This window comes from Homo sapiens, chromosome 1 (assembly GCF_000001405.40).
Source record: "Homo sapiens chromosome 1, GRCh38.p14 Primary Assembly".
Taxonomy (NCBI): domain Eukaryota; kingdom Metazoa; phylum Chordata; class Mammalia; order Primates; family Hominidae; genus Homo; species Homo sapiens.
In genome coordinates this window covers 74,098,585-74,121,503 of record NC_000001.11, presented here as the reverse complement: position 1 = coordinate 74,121,503, position 22,919 = coordinate 74,098,585, and the positions used below count along the sequence as shown (strand labels likewise).

The window sequence follows — 22,919 nt, the reverse complement described above, 5'->3', positions numbered from 1 at the left end:
ATTAAAGTCTAGAGAAAAACTTCTCACTAGCTTACTGTGCCACATAGTCTTGCCCATAAGGGGTTATGGTTCAGCAGTCAGCGCAAGCCTAGGGCAGCCGTAATCCTCTGCACCTTTTTGGCAGGTCCCTTCCAGCCACAAGTTACTTGGTTTGTTTTCAGTAATAAACAAATAATATCATTTTCTTTGTTTGCCATGACATGGAAAAGTTGGATGGCACTTATCTGCCAAAATAAGAATGATATCTAGCAAATACAAACCATCAAAATGGACTCAAGGTGAGTATAATATCTCTGTAGACCAATAAGCAAACAATAAAATAATGAATGAACATTGACAAAGACACTATTCTCAAGTAGTTTTATTTCTGAGTTCCACATAATCTTTAATGAACAAGACTATAATATTGTTTAAATTATTCCTGCACATAGGAAAAGTTTTTTAAATACCTATTCATTTTATAAGGTTGGTACAATTTTAATTCTAATACATGACAGGGTAATAAAAATGTTACTGCCCAGCATCAGGAACACAGGTAGACACAAATGTTAAATGTTAATCAATCATAATGTTCTGCAATATATGAGAGGTTTAATAAATTTGACCAAGTAAAGTTTAGTCCACGAATCGAGGGATAATAAGTGGGAAACTTATTAATACAATTAATTAATGGAGAAAATGTAATCATGTTATTGAGTGCCCGAAAAGTAACTTAATAAAATTAACACTCTTTCTAATAAAAATAATTTTAAAAGACTGAGCTATTTATTAAATATTATCATTTATTTTAAAATTTAAAGTTTTTAACATTGTTTTGGAGTTTCAAGTTAAGGCCATACATAAGATAAATCTGGCCACATGTTTAGAAAATAAGAAAGAAATTAGATTATTATATAATGTATTAATATGAATGGTAAATCAAAGAGATTAGTAGATTTAAAAAATTTGGCTGGTGGCTGGATACAAAATATGCATATATAAAAATTGATGTTTTTCTTCATACTAACAAAATTCCAATTGCATATAAATGGAAAATTTTATATTTCCCCTTGTTAATAAAACCGGAAAATATTTAAGAAACAACATAGAGGCCAGCACTGTGGCTCACACCTGTAATCTCAGCACTTTGGAAGGCCGAGGTGGGCGGATCACAAGGTCAAGAGATCAAGACCATCCTGGCCAACATAGTGAAATCCTGTCTCTACTAAAAATACAAAAACGAGCTAGGCATGGTTGCATGCACCTGTAATTCCAGCTACTCAGGAGGCTGAGGCAGGAGAATCACTTGAACCCAGGAGGCGGAGGTTGCAGTGAGCCGAGATCACGCCACTGTACTCCAGCTTGGCGACACAGCAGGACTCCATGTCAAAAAAAAAAAACAACATACAAAAAATAAATATCCTATGTGAAGAAAATAATAATTTTTATCAAATAATAAAACCTGAACATATATAAATAAATACCATATTTCTGTGTGAGAATTCAGTATAATACAAATAACCATCCTTTCTAAGTTTATGTTTAAACATAAGTGATTTCAATTACAATCTTGTTTTTGTAGAGATACTGGGAAATATGCTTTTAAAGTTCCAGAGAAGGAAAATTAAATGCTTTGTAATATCCAAGAAACATCTGAAGAAATATGCCTTTCCAAATATTAAAAATTACTTTTAGGCCACTTTATCGATATATGATTTTATTGGCACAGGGATAGAGAAATCAGATGAACAGAATAACAAGGGCCCCTAAAAAGAGCTGTGTATATAAGGGAATCTCAAAGTAGGATAGGAGTATTATTTTAATTTGGTGGGGAAAGGATGATTTATTTAATAATTGATAGTGGTAAAATTGTTTATCTTTCTAAACAAAATATTTGTTTTCTTACTGTACACCCATAAACAAAAATATATTTCAGATGAGTTAAAACATTACATATAGGACATTAGAAGACAATTAAGTTGTATATTTTTGTAACGTTGTTGTGGGGGAGACTGTAAGTGACCTATATATGGAGAAAATGTATTTAACTACTTTCAAAAGAATATGTCTATACAAATCAGAAAATGTTCACATATAAATAGCTTGTATATAAAGTAGTCGAGCAAAGAAAAATGAGTCAGAAAAAAATGGACAAAGGATGTGAATAGACAACTTACAGAAGAAGAAATATAAACTACCAACCAACATATCAAAAGATCTTTAACCTCATTAATATTCAAGAGTATGCAAATTATATCAGCAATTAGATATATTTCCCTAATTTGAAAAAAAATTTAAAGTGGGATAATAGTTCTTATAAGGATTTAAGAGAAAGGGAATTATATTGCTGGTGACAATTGCTATCACCATTTTAAAAAATAAAATGACAATTTTTACTAAAATTAATTTTTAAAGTGTTATACTATTTGTAATGTTTAATTTTATGTGTCAACATAGCTAGGCTACGGTGCTCAGTTACTTGGTCAAACACCTGCCCAGATGTTGTTATAACGGTAGAATTTTAGATGTGATTAACATTTAAATTTGTAGACTTTGAGTGAAGCATATTACCCTCCATAATGTGGGTGAGCCTCATCTAATCAATTAAAGGTCTCAAATACAAAGACCAAGATTTCTTGAAGAAGCATTTCTTCCTCAACACTGCGACATAGAAACCCTGCCTGAATTTTGAGACTGCAGAGTTGGAATTGAGATTGCAACATCAACTTTTCTCTGCAGGCCTGCCCTACAGATTTCAGACTTGCCAGCTTCCACAATTGTGTGAGCCAATTCCTTAAAATAAATCTCTCTTGCTCTCTCTCTATATATATATCTCTATATTTTTTTTCTACTGGTTCTATTTTTCTAGAGAATCCTGACTAATACACTCTTACGCCAGCAATAACCGTTCTTGAAACTTATACTACAAAAATAAAATGTGTGTGTGGGAGGTAGTGGGGTTGGGGAGAAGGCTGGGAAGAGACCGAGAGAGAAAGAGAGCAAGAGAGATACTGTCTTATTTCTGGTGGCAAAACTCTTGAAAAACTTATGTGTGTCCTTTGTTGAAAACTGGATACAAAGACAGTATAAAATATTATGCAGTTGTTAAAAAGTAATGGGTTAGTTCTAAAATTTAATTTGAGTGATTTCAGAAATGTATTAAGTTAGAAAAGCAAGTTACAAAAAAAATACATTTAACAAACTTCTTTTTTTGCAAAAAACAAGGGCAAAAGTTTATGTCCGTTTGAACAAGGGAAAAATGTGGAACCAAATGTATGGGTAGGTGCCTGTGCAATGGTCTGTAAAAGCGAGAGTGTAGTAATGATTGATAATTGTGTGTGTGTGTGTATACAATTTTAAAAATGTGTACATATACATGTGAGTGTATTTTTATTTTACAAAAAAGGGTATGTTATGCCTGCTATTTTCTAATAGGGTTGGTTCCATTTTCTATAGTATTAGATATTATTCCATAACAATTTTTAATAGCTAAATGTATTCTTTTAAATGGTTATGTTTTATTTAGGTAAATTCTCCCTTCTTGGTGGACATTATTATGGTTTCTATTTTCTCTAAATTATAAAAAGATAGGGACAAAACCCTGTAAATTTACATATGTCTATATATCCATTATAATGTCTTTATAAACAGTTTCTAGAATTTGATTTGCCAGGTCAATGGATATATAGAATTATATTTTTATTATTGTATTACTGATACTAGTAATTGCTAGTTATATGGTGTATTATTACTATTGTTTTGAGACAAACTTGCTCTGTCACCCAGACTGGAGTGCGGTGGTGCGATCTCAGCTCACTGCAACTTCTGCCTCCTGAGTTTAAGTGATTCTCCTGCCTCAGCCTCCTGAGTAGCTGGGATTACAGGTGTGCATCACCATGCCTGGCTAATTTGTGTAGTATTACTAGAGACAAGGTTTCACCACCTTGGCCAGGCTGGCCTGGAACTCCTGACCTCAAGTGATTTGCCCACCTCGGCCTCCGAAAGTTCTGGGATTACAGGCATGAGCCACCTCACTAAGCTGGTATATTATTAATCTTATCAAGACAATATTTGTTTTTCTATTATTTCTGCTAATAATTGTACTACTGTTAATACAAATAATAAGGCCTTATCTTTTCTTCATACTTTGCTTATCTTTTCTTCATACTTTTTACATGAGACTCTTGTCATTAAGTCAAGTCTTTATTTAATGAAATGAGCCACAGGAATGAAGGTGGTTGGAGGTAGCTCTTAAAGGCTATGTTGAAAGTTAATATTTCCAATTGTGATAAAATATACACATCTTTTCCATCTATCTATATTTTTACTTTCAACCATTGCCAAAGTTACCTGGAAAATCACCTTTTATCATCAGTTCTGGATAACTTCTATTTAAAATATTTTGATATACAAATGTTCTGAAAATGATAGTGACTTTTCCTTTACTGATTGTGATGATTATTGTGATGATTCTTTTTAAATAATTTAATATACCTTTCTTTGTTTTACAGTAGAAAAGAACTAAAAGGTGGCACTACATTATAACTAATCATTTCCTTTTTAGGACAAATAGAGCTGAAGACTAAGTACATAACAGGGCAGATTTACTCTTTTAAATTAATAATCGTTTGAATTATGGGTCTTTATAAGTTTGGCTCTTCATGCTTCTGCAATTTATACCTTATTAATGGTATATTACCTATTATCATAAAATCTTAATACATAATGGCTTAAATTTTTTCATTAATATGTAAATTTAAAGCTCTTTGCAGATAGCATTTTGTAGATACTTTTAAAGCATTCTAAACATATGTATCTTCTTTCTTATGTAAAAATTACTGTGATCAACATTTCCTTTGAATTTTGATGCTCACTTCCTTGTATTTTTCTACTGAACCCAGGTAATTAGCAACAAACTTTGAGGAAAACTTAAAAATTATCTAATATTTTTTAGTTAATAATACCTGTGTATTGAATTGTAAAATAATAATTAATCCAATTGTTTTTTATTTAATACCATAGAAAGAAATCTCAATTTTTTTTCTGAAATTGCTGAAGTTATTATCTCACCCTTTGACAGGTTCAGTGGGGGTGAGCCTTATATCTGATTGCCTGTATGTTGTCATTTCAGAGAACTGTTAATAGACCCTTATATTGGTTTTCTAGCCTTCAAATTTCAAGCCATGATAGTATTCTTTAATACATGACCTCATATTTCCAAAGTTACAAAAGAACACAGTGAAACTCTATTACCTTAATTTCAGTGGGCAAGGGCAAGAGCTCCAGGTATAGGGCAGTGTATGGATTTTTATTTTTTATTCTTTTGGTATTCTCTCTACACCAACACATTTCTCTAATATTGGGTACTCTGCTGTGGAAAAACGTCTATATTGGAGAATTCTTCTGTTTTATTGTTTTAAGCTGTAGTGGGGTTTTTTGTTTTCAGGTTTTTAAAATCAATATATTTTGATTTTTAAAAAGAAAGAATGTATATTTTGGACTTATTTTAATTGAATAATGTCCTCATTTATATTGTTTTAGTTCTTTGTATTGATTTTCTATTTTACATTATGCATTTTAAGCGTTTAATATTTGGTTTTTGTCATCAAGTCTTGTTTTTCTTCTCTTTTAGAACATTCTTAGTTGTTTTAACACCTGTTCCAACATTTGACTTTTTGGTGGGAGGGTTCAGATTCCTTTGGGAATCTGAAGAAAGCTATGGGTATTTTTCTCAGTATAGATTCATGACCCTGAAGCTAAACTGTAATATATAACATAACTTTAAAATTCTCCTGTTTTTTAGCCTTTATTCTTGGAAAATTAGAGTAAATCTGAGTTATTTCATGAAAGATCCAAGACCCCTGTCTTCTGGCTAGGTTACCTTGATCTTGAGATCTGGACTGTCTCACACTGTCCAGCCAGGATCTTAATGGATTAATGAAGCCACTTACTTATTGAAGGCAAAGCAAAGTTTTACAAACACCCCATTTTATTTTGAACTCTTGAGTTATTTTCTATTTTGTAATGAGAGTTTTAATTGCTAAGGCAACCAGATAATTCCTGAATTCCTCCAGCCAGTAGTTCATTAAAAAGCCACTTCCTGTTAGAATGTCATTTAGGGAGTCTCCAGTAAAAATAAGATGAGATGGAAATATTAAAGAAATGTTGAGATTAAATAATTGATGTTTTTAAAAGTTAAATTTAAATGTTTTGTCCTTATAATTCATCATAAGAGAAAAATAATCTTCCATTGAGAAGTTTTCCTAATCTAAACATCATTAGACTTTGGATTTTTAATCAATAGGTCCTTAGAGTCTAGAACAGTGTTTTTTGAATGAATGAATGATTGAGCAATTCATGAAAGAGTGAATAAATACTTCTTCTGAGATAAAAATTAGGTTTTAATATCTGTAGGTTGTGGAAATGATTTGTACCGCTTCAATTCTATGAGTTTACTTTCTTTCAGACATTATAAAAAATAAATCATTCGACAAGATAGTATATTTTAGAAAGAAAATGAAAATAAAATTAAAGATTATATTTAAAATAGGAGCCATGTAAAATTAATCATATAATTGTATAAAATATTAAGAATAAAAGGGGAATTTATTTTAAAATAAACTTAAATCTTAACATTATTCACAGATATGTCTTATATCTTTTTTGTTCCTCTCTTCTTTTACAGCTTTTATTGTTAGTGAATATTTTATAGCTTAACATTTACATTTCTTTATTGATTTTTAATTGTATGTTTTTAGTGATTTTCTTGGTGCATTTTTTTTTTTTTTTTAAGACGGAGTCTCGCTCTGTTGCCCAAGCTAGAGTTCAGTGGCTCCGTCTCTGCTCACTGAAAGCTCCGCCTCCTGGTTCATGCCATTCTCCTGCCTCAGCCTCCTGAGTAGCTGGGACTACAGGTGCCTGCCACCACGCCTGGCTAATTTTTTGTATTTTTAGTAGAGATGGGGTTTCACTGTGTTAGCCAGGATGCTCTCGATCTCCTGACCTCATGATCTACCCACCTCGGCCTCCCAAAGTGCTGGGATTACAGGCATGATCTTGGTGCTTTTATTAGGCCTTACAATATACACTTTAACTTATCTTGTCTACTTCATATTTATACTAACTTAAGTCTAGTGAGATTTGGAGACATTACTTCTATATAGCATTATTCCCTTTCCCCACTTTTTGTACTATTAAATTAGACATATTACATCTATACATGTTACAAATCCGACAGTTTGTGACTATAATTGTTACATTATAAAACTGTAAGCTTTTTAAAGAAACTAAAAGATGAATGGATATATTCATAGAGTTTGTTATATTATATTTCTATTTATCATTTTTAGTTCTCTTTATTTTTGTGGATTTGAGCTACCATTTGAGGTAGTTTCACTATTCCAACTTGCTCTCACCTGCCTCCTTGTGCTCTTATTGTCAGATATGTTTCTATATGTTATAGATCCAACAATACAATTATATATATGTGTATATATATAACAATATACACATAAAATGATACAATTATATATATAGTTGTGTGTATATATATAGAGAGAGAGATAGAGAAAGAGAGAGGGGATTTATATATATATGTTTATATAATTACTTTTTCAATTAGTTAAGAGAAAAAATATGCATTTATACCCATTAATAATTACATAATTACCTTTGCCAGCATTCTGCTTTTTTTAATCTTAAAAAGCATGGAGGTCTCTTGACTTCAGCCTAAAGAGAACTTCCTTTATTAGCTCGTAAAAAGCATGCTGCTAGAAGTAAATTATTTTAGCTTGTATTGATCTGGAAACATTGTTATTTCACCTTCAGTTTTGAAAGATCATATTTTCTGGATTTAAGATTGTTAATTGAATTTCTTTCTTCTTTTTCTTCTCTCAGAACTTTGACAATGTCATACTATTGCCTTCTGGCTTCCATTGTTTCTCATAAGAGAGCCATAGTTAATTTTATTGGGGTTCCTTTGGACATGACTCATCATTTTTCGTGAGCTCAAGAAGACATTTTCGAGATTTTCTGTCTTTAGATTTCAATAATTTTACTATGATGTGTCTGGACGTGGACCTCTTTACATTCATTGGACTTCTTGGATGTGTAGATTAATTTTTCAAAATCAAGTTTTAGAATTTTTAGCCATTATTATAATATTTATTTTCTGCCTTTTTCTCTCTGTCTCTATTATTTTCTTGTACTCCCATTATTTGTACTGGTGGACTTAATTGTATCCCTCAACTTTTTGTGGGTCTGTTCACTTGTCTTCATTTTATTTCTGTTTTTCAGCATAATCTGTTGAGCCACCATAGTAAAATTTTTTTGTTTCAGTTATTGTACTTCTCAGTTGCAAAATTTTTGGTTTTTTTTAAATTATTTTTATGTCTTCACTGATAGTCTTTATTTGAAAAGGCATTGTTGTCATGCCTTTAAATGTATTTGATTTCTTTTAAGTGTATTTACTTACTTAAGCTTGATTTTCTTTCAACATATTTATAACATCTGCTTTGAAGTCTTTGTTTCGCCTGTTGTCTGGGCCCTTTCTATGTTGGTTTCTGTTGTCTGCCCTATTTTGTATATAATTTACATTTTTGTGTTTCTTTGCCTAATAACATTTTGTTTAAAATTAGACATTTTAGGTAATGTATCGTAACAATCCGGGATACTGTAGCCCCACCCAGAGTTTCTTGTTGTGATTTGTTTATTTGTTTAATAATTTGGCTGGACTATTTTAGTGAAGTCTATTTTCCCTGCATTGTGCAAGCCTCTGATATTGCTCCTCAGAGCGTGCACCAGCTATAGTCAGCTATTTGGCCAGCTATGTTGCTCTTGGTAGGACAGTGGTATAAGCTTTCTTTGACTGTCTTCTCTGATTTCCCTGTTAGGCTGTCTGAACTTTTTTAGTATCAAACCCAGTGTCAACCTCCACTAATTGCTGGTTGATTGTTCTATTGTCTTTAACAATGCTCTGGAACATAAATTGACCCACTGTCTGATTCATTTTATGTTGGGGCCCCTTCCAGGGTAATCTTTGAGGCCAGTTTTTGCTGTTTGCTCTAATCCCGATATTCTTCTTAGCTCTTTTCCTGTTTTTCTCTGGAAAACTTCAACCTGATCTTCAGTTTACCTTTTTAGTCTCATGGAGCTACCATCCTCCTCTTAATTGCTTAACATCATAATCTCTACTGTCTTTAACAGTGCCTTTAGATTTGAAATTCTCCACACTCTGTTTCATAAAGTCAGTTCACTTTGAGAGGATGAGGAGAGCACTTCAGGTTCTATGTTCATATAGGCTACATTTATCCTTAGGCAAAATCACTGTGCCACTGTCCTAGATCAGAAGGAGGAGGCAGTGGCTCACTTTTTTCAGAGTGACATTCACAAATAGAGTGCTCAGCTGTGACAGCAGTCTCTAGTCTTCTCAACTTGCCTCACCTGTCTCAGAATCGCTATCTTACAAGTGATCTGGAGTAAGGGCTACCAGGGCTCCAGTATTCTCTCCCCGTTGCACCTTGATTAGAGCTTCTGCCTATCAGTGGGAGCTGGAGGGATGAAGAAAGCCCCAGACCTCTCAACTATTCTTTCCTGACATAATATCTCTGAAACATGGAGGTAGGATCGGGATGTGAGATAAATTTATGCATTTCTTGTGAAAATACCATAGCCCTCAACTGGGACCCAGTAGTAGAGGGATCCTATGTTCTTGGCTGTACTTATTCAGGGTCGAACTTCTGTCATACTGAACTGGGGTTGAGGGAGGAAGGGAGGAAAGAAGAGAGAAAATTGTGGTTTAAATGGCAAAGATTCACTGTTAACACTGAGATGTAATAGATTTTCTTGAATAGATGTTTATTTTGCTGTATGCCCTTTGGACAATTTCCAGAGATATATAACTTAAAAAAATAATTTCCACTAGATATTGTTTCACTGGGAAGAGATTCCACAGAATTTCTCACATCTCTATTCCAGAAAATCATCTCCCCAACATGATCCTTTTCAAAGCCACTCTTCTGCTCAAAGCTCTGCAATGACTTTCCATCTCAGTGACCTTCTTTCTGTTTTTCAGACATGCCAAATGTGGTCTTATCTCATGAAGCATACTTCTGCCTGGTTCTTTGCACTTGGTATTTGCTCTGACTGGAATTTTTTTTCTGTGATGCCCGCTATATCTTGTCTCTTCTTAGCAATATTATCCCAGACCAGACTATGTAAAAAGCAATTTACTTATTATATATTTTGTATTTTATTTATATACTATCTGTCTCTACATAGTAGAGAATATAAGCTTCATCATGGTAGAAACTTTTTTTTTTCTCTTCACAGGGCACATATTGAGCATTTGCAGAAGACTACTTTTCCCTTTAACATCCATTCTTTTCTTTTCTTTTGGCAATTGACTGAAAACTAGAGATTGTATTCACACTCTCTCGTGACTAAGTATATTCATCAGACTACAATTTTTTGTTGTTGTTATATTGGAAAGTGAGCAGAAGTAATGAGTACAACTTCGATTTTATGTGCTTAAATTGTTATTGCTCCCCCTTTGTTTTCACGTTTCCTTATTCCATGGGCTAGAGTGCATTCATCATGTAGCTGATGGCAGTGATTTTGGATATGGTAAAACAAAATCGAATGACTTTATGGAGCAGGGCTACTCCACTAGCCTAGACTGGTCAGCATGAGAAAGTAAACGGCCTTATTTAAATTATTATAAATTGTATTATCTTAGTATATTTTACCTTAACTAATTTGTATGTCATTAATACAAATATTTTGAATGAAGGAGTAAATAGGTGGAGTCTGCTTAAAACATCTTAGAAGTGAGAAGATTGCTTTCCTCAGTTATTCCTAGTTTTATTTCTCCTATTGAATAATAATGGTAATAATGGTAACCATCTACCTCATTTATCATTTTACTTCAAACGATTATTTTATCACTCAGAATGGATGTTACTGATTTTTGGTAAATCACCTCCGTGATATTGATGTGGTTTCTTTTGATCCTGTTTTACAAAGATTTTTCTATAAAATAGGCTGCTAAATTTTATCCAATGACTTTCCTGTGTGTACTTATATAATCACACTTTTTTCCTCCACTAATTTGTTGACGTAGTGAGTTTTACAATACATGATCATAGTGTTATTATTCTTTGCTTACATTACTAGATTCTTTTCACTAATATTTAGAATTTTTGTGCCTGTTTCAAAGGTGAGATTGGTCTATGGTTTTCTTTTTATTGCCTTATTAGACCAGTAGGCATTGTAGTACAATATTGAGTAGGTTTGATGAAAGATTACATCCTTTCTTTGTTTTTAATCTTAGAGGGAAAACATGTAGTTTTTGACCATTGAGTATGATGTTAGCTTGTAGATGCCATTTATTGGGTAATATTTTTGATCTATTGGGTTAAATAAAGCATAGTATTAAAATTAAGCTTACCTGTTTTTTAAACTTTTTTTTTAGTGTGGCTAATCAAAAACTTAAAATTATTTCTGGCTTATATTATGTTAGACATACTGCTCTAGAGTATATTTCCTAGTTTGTAATGAAGTACAAATATAATTTTTGTGATATAGTAATAACTGTTACCTCATTTAAAAAGTTCCTTCTTCACTAGGTTTGGAAAAAAAATAACTTCACACTGTTTACCTTATGTTTCTATAGATAATTTAGACATGTTCTCCTTCCCATTATTTATTAAAATGCTTAGCCAGATGTAAGTACAGAATTGTTTGTAGATTCATATCAGCTGAAATTTCTCAGCATTCATTTATCCTCTGATGAATGTTGATGAACAAATCTTAGTTACTAAGTAGCATTATATAACACTACTATGAAAATAAATATATTATTACATTCAATTTAACACTATGTTTTCTAAGATGTAAGTGAACTCATGACTAATTTTCATGTTTTTTAATGGCAAAAAACTAACAAATAGTTTTCCCCTCCCCTTATATTCAGCCCTGTGTTTTTCCACAAAAAAAAACAGCAGGAAAAAATTATTAGAGGATATGAAGCAAAATGGATTTACATAACCAAAGGGTATGAAGATAAGCTCCTTAAGGATCTCTTTTTCAAACCTGAAACTAATATAAAAGGAAAGCTTGCATATTGGAAACATGTAAGTATAATTAGTTTATTATTTTTATTTGAAATGTATTTAAGATATTAAAGTTATGATTTAGGTAGCGCTATTATTTCTTCAGTCTCTATTAAATGTCCTTCATTACATTGTTAATATCCTGCTTTATATTTTTTGATTGAAAAAAGTTATATAGTAATGTAATACAAATATATTTTTGTGGTGCATCTATAGTATAGTATACCACAACCATTTAATAATTTATGCTTTATATATATAATTTTTTATTTAGTTTTTACAAGTAGTAATAATAACGTAAAAACCACTTCTCAGTGATTGAAAACATAAATATTTAGTTTATTAAAGAGTGGGAACTCTATAATACAACATTCATTCATTGGTTTTATGCTATATTATAAATTGCTTTGAGGACCCAGTGGAAATTGAAAGAAATTTATTTATGTTGATTGAATGCCTACTATATCCCAGGCACTGTGCTAGACATTTTGCAAGTGGTATGTAACTTATTCTCTGTAGCACCATAGATAGATATTTTTTATCTCATTTTGACCAATATGAAAACTAAGAGACATAGAGGTTAATTAACTTACCAAAAGCTACATAATTAATAGGTAGGATCGGACTCCAGGTCTTCTGACTCTAGAATTTGTGCTTTTTTATCTTTATAATTTTATTTTGATTTGGACACTAATTAATGGTAGAAATGAATACTTAGCATTATAGTAGAATTAACTGGAGTGAACATTCTATAATTTCTAAAGCACTTAGTTTGTGATAAGCTCCTTCATGTGTGGCTCTCTGCTTGAGTAGCCTAAACTACAAATATTTCTATTACATTAGCATTGTTAGAAGGCAATACAAAAGGTCCAGACTGTCATTAGTCTTATTTCAAGGCAAATGAACACCTGTGTTCCAGATATAGCATAGTAATGTTCTCAACTCCTTAAATCGTGTGAAAGTTATTCATTGAATAAAAACATAGGATACAAAAGGCAAACATATTCTACTTAAAACTTGTCCCTCATCAGCACTCAGTGCCAACAGTATTAATTTGCTCCAGATGATAGTGTGTATTATAAAATTATAAAGTTCATCTAAATTATGTTTTGACCCTCTGTGTAGAATATAAAATCACTGGATTTCAGAGCATACCACCTGCTTTTTTACATACTTTATACAGAGTATGATTTCGGAGTATGATTAGAGAGTATGATATCAGTATACTGATAACCAATTTGTTGTGTAATTATAACTAATTTGAATATATTGACAACCAATGTGTTTGTGTATAAATATATATTTTGTGTATATATTTTGTTGTGGCAAGCAAATATATATGTGCATGAAATCAAATAAAATATTCATTTTCCAAAGATTTTTTAGTATGTATAAAGTTATATAAAATGTACCATTGTCAAGGTTTTGCAAGTATTTTGAATATTATGAAGTTTTTTCAAGATAAATTTATTATAAAGAATGTTTGAAATCTCCCTTGTATTTTGAATAATTCTGCTAAATGTGTAATTATTAATGTTACTTTTTAAGAACTATTCTTTCATAGTTGATAAATATGTACATTGTGTTGTGCATTTTTATTTTTTATAACCACCATTCATAGAATATTATAGAAGTTGTCTTCATCTCAATTTCTTAAAGTAATTAAAATTATTTTTAATTGTAAGTTTTATTTTTTGATGAATAGTTTCTTTATATAAAATTGTCCTTCAATCTTCTGCTGGCTTCATTTGTAGTTTCCTCTTCAGCTCACTTAGTTGATATATTATTCTCTTATTATTATCTTTCATTATTCTTATTTTATTATTTATATAATAATTACATATTATTCTTTTATTCATTATGTATTATTTTTATTCACTTATTATTCTTTTATCTTGTATTATTTTGAGTGGTAAAAATAATAATATCAACTAAGTGAGCTACCTGATTTCTTGTGCCTTGGAGTTTGGTTTGTAAGAAACTATAGTGATAATTGATAAATCTAAAGGAACAGTGAAAGGGTTAAGGAGTAGGGAAAGGGGTGGAGGTGAGAAAACATGAACATTTAATACTGAAAGTTCATAAAAAACAAAACAATAGCAACAACAAAACATGCCATGAGCAAAACAATACAAAGGATTAGCCAAGAATAGAATTCAAGGTTCAGTAATTAGATGAAGTAATCAGTATCTGAATCTTCTCCTGTTTGGGAATAAAACGTGCTTGACTTAAAGGGTTTAATAATTCCCATAACTATGGAACCTAAAGTGCGAAGAGACAGAGGAGTGAGTTCAAGCTACATTCACTTAGGAAATACCACGATGCAAAACTAGATATTCAAATAAACATCCAGTGTTTATGGAGCAAGAACTAACTGTAAATGAGATAGAGAACCAGAAGTCAGAAGCCGTGAGGAGTGAATTTGACAAAAGCAGCTGGGTCAGAATAGAAGAAATGGAGGATGTGGAACACTTCCTAGACACTTACTAGGGACATTACTTTTCCATGGCTTACAGGTATTAAAGCGTGGTTGTGAGTGGTACAGATTAGGCTGGCATAAATACAGAACTGTGGGAGTTCAATTAAATCCAATTGAAGGAAAACTTGTATACTATTATGATAGATTTTAGGAAAATCTGAATACTAATATGAAAGATTTTGCTAGGATGCCTAAGGATATTTAAAATCGGCTTTGGTATCGTTGATCCTTTCCCTTGGAGGTTACTGCTGTTCTAAGCAAAATATATGTTCAGGGAGTAATAGCAAACACACTAATACCCCACCGGGGCTTTGACTTCAAATTCCTTATAAACTTATAGTAAGTAACCTAGGCTGGACTGTGTGGTAATTCCTTTATTACCTATACTTTGTTGGCATAAATAGTCTTCTTTCATCTACTTCCTATATTTCAAACATGAATTTAGAAGGAATATAGTGTGAGAGATACTCACACCCATGGGAGCCAAAAGGAAATAGATGGGGGCATTTCCCAAAATATTTATGTTAGAGGCAGCCTAGCTCCCCTCCCTTCCTCCCCCCGCCATCCCCACTCCTTGCCACATACATCGGAAGCTTCCTTGTGCTGATTTAGTTCCTATGTTGTAAGGAAGGAGAGAAAGCATCTGTGAAGTAAGAAAGTGATGGCCAGAAACTTTTACTGCTTCAACCATGTGGAAAGAAAAGAATCAGTCTATATGTTGTGAATTTCTATCTTTTTTGACAGTCCACTTCCTAGGATAATGATCTAATCTTTTTCTTAGAACTTGAGCAATACCCTTTCTCCTTGAGGCATGAAAATTGGAATTTCACACCCTCTGTCTTAATCTTCTGGAGAGGGTGCCTGATTCTCCCTGGTTATCAGCAAAGGAGGAAAGCTATCTATAGGGTAACCATATACAACCTCTCTGAAAGGCATCTCTTACTCGGAACCACTTCTAACATACTGAATGTTCACATCTTGTACTCTATGGCTTTGTATACCTCCAGAAAACACCTGACATAAAATAACCTGGCATTCAGCTCTACTAAAGTAAGATTTGTTTTATAACTGCTGATTTGCTTGAATTCTAGAATATTTTTATTTACTTTTGCTTTGCTTCCAAAGATTAATTTTTCCTATAAATAAGACTCATGGAACTATATACATGCTATGTTGAGTGCCATTTTGTAAGATCAAATAAAATTAAATGTTCTCATATACAATTCTCCCTGTGAACCCTTTCCATTAATTATTATTAGATGTATTATTCTAAAGGTTAAATATATATTTTTAAATCTGATGAGCTGTTTGTATTTAAATCTATTATAATTTTAATAAGGACTCAAAAATAGCAACAAGATAACTTTTTAATTATACCACATAGGCCAGCCATGGTGGCTCACGTCTGTAATCTCAGCACTTAGGGAGGCCAAGGTGGATAGATTAATTGAGGCCAGGAGTTCAAGACCAGCCTGGCAAACATTGTGAGACCCCCATCTCTACTAAAAATACAAAAATTAGCTGAGCATGATTGTATACTCCTGAAATCCCAGCTACTTGGGAGGCTGAGGAATGAGAATCACTTGAATCCCAGAGGCGGAGGTTGCAGTGAGCAAAGATCACACCACTGCACTCCAGCCTGGGCAAAAGAGCAAGACTGTCTCAAAAAAAAAAAAAATACACACACACACACACACCACATAGATGTGAAAAAATACATTAAGGTATAGTCAGCAAGATATTAATAGTGTTCATAGTTAATACAATTTTAGATAATTATTGCTTTCTAAAGGTTTATACATCTTTTTAAAAATTCAAATATGTTTTATTTACAAAATAAAAACGTTTTTATTGTGAACAAAAAATTTACTTACTTTTTTGATAACATAAATATAGAAATATTGCCTTCAGGTACCTCTGTTTTATATTTTATGCCACATCATCAGTTCTCTTCTTTTTAATTCATAAACTTTATTTGTTAGAGCAGTATTAGTTTCATAACAAAGTTGAGTGGGAAGTACAGAGAGTTTCCCTATACCCCACAATTGGCATCCTACACCACAGTGGTAAATTTATTAAATAGATGGACCCATACTGACACATCATTATCACCTAAAGTCCGTAGTTTCCATTGCGGTTCATTGTTGGTGTTGTACACTTTATGGGTTTTGTCAAATGTATAATTGTATGTATAAACTATTGTAGTATACAGAATTGTTTCACTCTCCTAAAAATTCTTTGTACTCTGCCAATCCTTCTTACCTTACCCCTGGCAACCACTGATCTTTTCACTGTCTCCACAGTTTTGCCTTTTCTGAAATGTCGTATAGTTGAAATCATATAGTATGTAACCTTTTCAGATTGGCTTCTTTTCACTTGGTGATATGTGTTTAAGTCTCCTTTATGCCTTTTTCATGTGGCTTTGAGCACACATTTTATTTTTAGCACTGAATAATATTCCATTGTATGAAAGATCATGCGTTCACCTGTTGAAGGACGTCTTGTTTGCTTCCAAGTCTTGGCAATTATGAATAAAGCTCCTACAAATATTGTATGCAAGTTTTTGTGTGGGCATGTTTTTTATTCATTTGGGTAAATACCAAGGAATACAATTGCTGGATTGTATGACGAGAATGTCATACAAACAGCTGTAGCATTTTGCATTCCCATCAGCAATGAATAAGAGTTCCTGTTGCTACACAAGACCTCATCAGCTTTTGGTATTGTCAGTGTTTTGGATTTTGGTCATTCTAATAGGTTGGTAGTGGTACCTCATTGTTGCTTTAATTTATAATTCCCTTAATTACGTATGATGTTGAACATTTCGTATGCTTACTTACCATCTATGTATATTCTTTGGTGAGATGTAATTTTCCTTTTACTATTAGAAAGATGAGATAATTTGTCACCTGTCCTATATAAGAGAGGAAAGAGAAGGATTCACCTTACTCAGGACTATTGCATTGCGTAGCACAGGAGTGCATTTACATCACAGTCTATGTAGCTGGCTTTGACTAGAGTGTTGCAGAACAGAGCTGGCAAGTCACGGTGAGGTTGCTGTAATTTCATACATCAAGAACTAGTCTTATTTGATTGCTTTTAGTATTTTATGTCTACTTTAAATTCAGGTAAATATGGCGGGGGGGGGAAGGACAGAGGGAGAATAATTAGTTCCATAATATTACAAGCCAAAATATTGAAGCTACTACTCATCTTCTTTTTTATCTTGTTCAACAGAAAATGATACTAAGAAAATAGTGAAGGAGTTGATTCTCTATGAGATTTAGCAAATGTGGAACTGGTCACCTTCTTTTATAATATGGAATGCTAAAAAATATGTTTAAGTATTTTTATTTATTTTGGGGGTCAATTTATGTCATTGTTTTGTGAAATAGTGTGTTTCCTTATGCTGGAAAGTAAAATATTATTATTATTCAGTTTCTGGGATTTGTTCTAGCTTAACTAATGCTAAGAAATGAGCTTTGTGATGACATTCTTACATCTACTCTAAAAATTGTCCTTTGTTATTGTATAACTCTCATTTTAGGGTTCCACCAGTAATGCAATTTATTTTAAATAGATATTTACTGAATATTTACAATATTCCAGGCACTGTAGTAAAGCATAAGGCCTACAAACTTGCAATCAATCAAGTTCTATGCTGGAACTTGTAGGGGATGGGGAAGAGCTAGAAAAATCTCACTGGGCAGAGGTTGATTTTATAAAGAATGGAAATGAGGGAAATATAAACAATGAAGTACAATTTAGTCAGTCAGCCACCTGCAACTAATGGGTCTCATATAAGAAGCTGGAGTTGTTCTGAGTATTAGGAATTCTGAGAAGTAGTGGTTTTTAGTGTCTACTTAGGTAGAAGTATAAGATATTTGTCAGAAGAATCTATAGAGAAGATACTAGAGCTACCAGAGGCTAAAGATAATTGTAGTTCAGCCTTTAAGGTCCAAGGAAGCAATATTGATGGCTTAGAAGGGAGGCTATAGCCCTTTCTGGAGAAACCCATCTTTGACACCATTTATTATACCTAGCTCCATATATGTGGATAAGAAAGGTTTCAAGCCAAGTAATTGCAGAATTGGTTTTGAAAAGCAGCAAGTGGGTGCTAGATTAATACATAATCTGAGGTAAAAAGCTGTGTGAATTGCCAAAGTCAATAGAGAGATCACTGGGGAAATGAGAGAGTTGAACAGAGGGTTTATCAAATGACACAATGCATCCTAGGAAAGGGAAAGAGTAAGAGAAAGGAACTAGGAAGTGTTCATGTCTTTGAGATCTTGATATCAATTCTTTTGGATAAATATCTAGAAGTGGGATGGCTGAATCATATCATAGTTCTAATTTTAATTCTTTGAAGAACCTCCATCCTGCTTTTCGTAGCTGCTACGTCATTTTGCATTTTCAAAAACAGCGCAAAGGAGTTTCAACTTTTTCATATTCTTACCAACACTTGTCTTTTACTATTTTTTATAATAGCCATCTTAACAGATATGAGGTAATATCTTATTGCAGTTTTGATTTGCATTTTTCTGATGATTAGTTTCATTGGGCATTTTTATATACTTTTGAGGCATTTCTGTGTCTTCTTTGAAGAAATGTTTATTCAAGTTCTTAGGCAATTTTTAAATTAGTTCTTAATGAAAACATTCAACATTATACCTTTATTTACCACTCAGTGAAGATAATACTGTATCAGTATCGAATAATTTGGAGAGTAGCAGTTTCATTTTTATTCTTTTCTAAATATTATTTTCCCTCTTGATCTGCGATAAACTATGAAGAATGTTTTTTCTCATCTACTTTGTCCTCTTGATAGTCTCCAAATGCACTCTTACAAACTTGAGAATTTTCTTTTTTTTTTTTTAATTATACTTTAAGTTCTAGGGTACATGTGCACAACGTGCAGGTTTGTTACATATGTATACATGTGCCATGTTGGTGTGCTGCACCCATTAACTCATCATTTACATTAGGTATATCTTCTAATGCTATCCCTCCCCGCTCCCCCCACCATATGACAGGCCCCAGTGTGTGATGTTCCCCTTCCTGTGTCCAAGTGTTCTCATTGTTCAATTCCCATCTATGAGTGAGAACATGCGGTGTTTGGTTTTTTGTCCTTGTGATAGTTTGATGAGAATGATGGTTTCCAGCTTCATCCATGTCCCTCCAAAGGACATGAACTCATCCTTTTTTATGGCTGCATAGTATTCCATGGTGTATATGTGCCACATTTTCTTAATCTAGTCTATCATTGTTGGACATTTGGGTTGGTTCCAAGTCTTTGCTATTGTGAATAGTGCCACAATAAACATACATGTGCATGTGTCTTTATAGCAGCATGATTTATAATCCTTTGGGTATATACCCAGTAATGGGATGGCTGGATCAAATGGTATTTCTAGTTCAAGATCCCTGAGGAATCACTACACTGTCTTCCACAATGCTTGAACTGGTTTACCGTCCCATCAACATATAAAAAGTGTTCCTATTTCTCCACATCCTCTCTGGCACCTGTTGTTTCCTGACTTTTTAATGATGGCCATTCTAACTGGTGTGAGATGATATCTCATTGTGGTTTTTATTTGCATTTCTCTGATGGCCAGTGATGATGAGCATTTTTTCATGTGTCTATTGGCTGCATAAATGTCTTCTTTCGAGAAGTGTTTGTTCATATCCATTGCCCACTTTTTGATGGGGTTGTTTGTTTTTTTCTTGTAAGTTTGTTTGAGTGCTTTGTAGATTCTGGTTATTAGCCCTTTGTCAGATGAGTAGATTGCAAAAATGTTCTCCTGTTCTGTAGATTGCCTGTTCACTCTGATGGTAGTTTCTTTTGCTGTGCAGAGCTCTTTAGTTCAATTAGATCCCATTTGTCAATTTTGTCTTTTGTTGCCATTGGTTTTGGTGTTTTAGACATGAAGTCCTTGCCCATGCCTATGTCCTGAATGGTATTGCCTAGGTTTTCTTCTAGGGTTTTTATGGTTTTAGGTCTAACATTTAAGTCTTTAATCCATCTTGAATTAATTTTTGTATAAGGTGTAAGGAAGGCATCCAGTTTCAGCTTTCTACATATGGCTAGCCAGTTTTCCCAGCATCATGTATTAAATAGGGAATCCTTTCCCCATTTCTTGTTTTTGTCAGGTTTGTCAAAGATCAGATGGTTGTAGTTGTGTGGTATTATTTCTGAGGGCTCTGTTCTGTTCCATTGGCTTATAACTCTGTTTTGGTACCAGTACCATGCTGTTTTTGGTTACTGTAGCCTTGTAGTATAGTTTGAAGTCAGGTAGCATGATGCCTCCGGCTTTGTTCTTTTGGCTTAGGATTGTCTTGGCAATGCAGGCTATTTTTTGGTTCCATATGAACTTGAAAGTAGTTTTTTCCAATTCTGTGAAGAAAGTCATTAGTAGCTTTATGGGGATGGCATTGAATCTATAAATTACCTTGGGCAATATGGCCATTTTCATGATATTGATTCTTCCTATCCATGAGCATGGAACGTTCTTCCATTTGTTTGTGTCCTCTTTTATTTTGTTGAGCAGTGGTTTGTAGTTCTCCTTGAAGAGGTCCTTTACATCCCTTGTAAGTTGGATTCTTAGGTATTTTACTCTCTTTGAAGCAATTGTGAATGGGAGTTCACTCATGATTTGGCTTTCTGTTTGTCTGTTATTGGTGCATAGGAATGCTTGTGATTTTTGCACATTGATTTTGTATCCTGAGACTTTGCTGAAGTTGCTTATCAGCTTAAGGAGATTTGGGGCTGAGACGATGGGGTTTTCTAGATATACAGTCATGTCATCTGCAGACAGGGACAATTTGACTTCCTCTTTTCCTAATTGAATACCCTTTATTTCTTTCTCCTGCCTGATTGCCCTGGCCAGAACTTCCAACACTATGTTGAATAGGAGTGGTGAGAGAGGGCATCCCTGTCTTGTGCCAGTTTTCAAAGGGAATGCTTCCAATTTTTGCCCATTCAGTATGATATTGGCTGTGGGTTTGTCATAGATAGCCCTTATTATTTTGAGATACATCCCATTAATACCTAATTTATTGAGAGTTTTTCACATGAAAGGCTGTTGAATTCTGTCAAAGGCCTTTTCTGCATCTATTGAGATAATCATGTGGTTTTTGTCTTTGGTTCTGTTTATATGATGGATTACATTTATTGATTTGCATATGTTGTTCCAGCCTTGCATCCCAGGGATGAAGCACACTTGTTCATGGTGGATAAGCTTTTTGATGTGTTGCTGGATTCGGTTTGCTAGTATTTTATTGAGGAATTTTGCATCGATGTTCATCAGGGATATTGGTCTAAAATTCTCTTTTTTTGTTGTGTCTCTGCTAGGCTTTGGTATCAGGATGATGCTGGCCTTATAAAATGAGTTAGGGAGGATTCCCTCTTCTTCTATTGATTGGAATAGTTTCAGAAGGAATGGTACCAGCTCCTTCTTGTACCTCTGGTAGAATTCGGCTGTGAATCCATCTAGTCCTTGACATTTTTTGGTTGGTAGGCTATTAATTATTGCCTCAATTTCAGAGCCTGTTATTGGTCTATTCAGGGATTCAGCTTCTTCCTGGTTTAGTCTTGGGAGGGTGTATGGGTCGAGGAATTTATCCATTTCTTCTAGATTTTCTAGTTTATTTGCGTAGAGGTGTTTATAGTATTCTCTGATGGTAGTTTGTATTTCTGTGGGATTAGTGGTGATATCCCCTTTATCATTTTTTATTGTGTCTATTTGATTCTTGTCTCTTTTCTTCTTTATTAGTCTTGCTAGTGGTCTATCAATTTTATTGATCTTTTCAAAAAACCAGCTCCTGAATTCATTGATTTTTTGAAGGTTTTTTTTGTGTCTCTATCTCCTTCAATTCTGCTCTGATCTTAGTTATTTCTTGCCTTCTGCTAGCTTTTGAATGTGTTTGCTCTTGCTTCTCTAGTTCTTTTCATTGTGATGTTCGGGTGTCAATTTTAGATCTTTCCTACTTTGTCTTGTGGGCATTTGGTGCTATAAATTTCCCTCTAAACACTGCTTTAAATGTGTCCCAGAGATTCTGGTATGTTGTGTCTTTTTTCTCATTGGTTTCAAAGAACATCTTTATTTCTGCCTTCATTTCGTTATGTACCCAGTAGTCATTCAGGAGCAGGTTGTTCAATTTCCATGTAGTTGAGTGGTTTTGAGTGAGTTTCTGAATGCTGAGTTCCAGTTTGATTGCACTGTGGTCTGAGAGACAGTTTGTTATAATTTCTGTTCTTTTACATTTGCTGAGGAGTGCTTTACTTGCAACTATATGGTCAATTTTGGAATAAGTGAGATGTGGTACTGAGAAGAATGTATATTCTGTTGATC

The 22,919-nt window shown here is 33.3% G+C and overlaps 1 protein-coding gene across 8 annotated transcripts in view; it reads left to right on the top strand.

The window, feature by feature from the left end:
- Positions 1 to 22,919, top strand: part of LRRIQ3 (leucine rich repeats and IQ motif containing 3) — a 172,162-nt gene that overhangs the window by 76,673 nt on the left and 72,570 nt on the right. For 7 of the 8 annotated variants that reach the window (XR_007079570.1, NM_001322315.2, NM_001105659.2 and 4 more), the window contains exon 5: positions 11,951 to 12,110. Coding sequence is in view for 7 of the 8 variants with exons in the window: in NM_001322315.2 (NP_001309244.1) it covers positions 11,951 to 12,110 (160 nt within the window). In the remaining variant the exon portion in view is untranslated. Of the gene's footprint in view, positions 1 to 11,950; positions 12,111 to 17,456; positions 17,614 to 22,919 lie in introns of those variants that run through there. The other variant, XM_024453185.2, reaches the window with a different exon arrangement.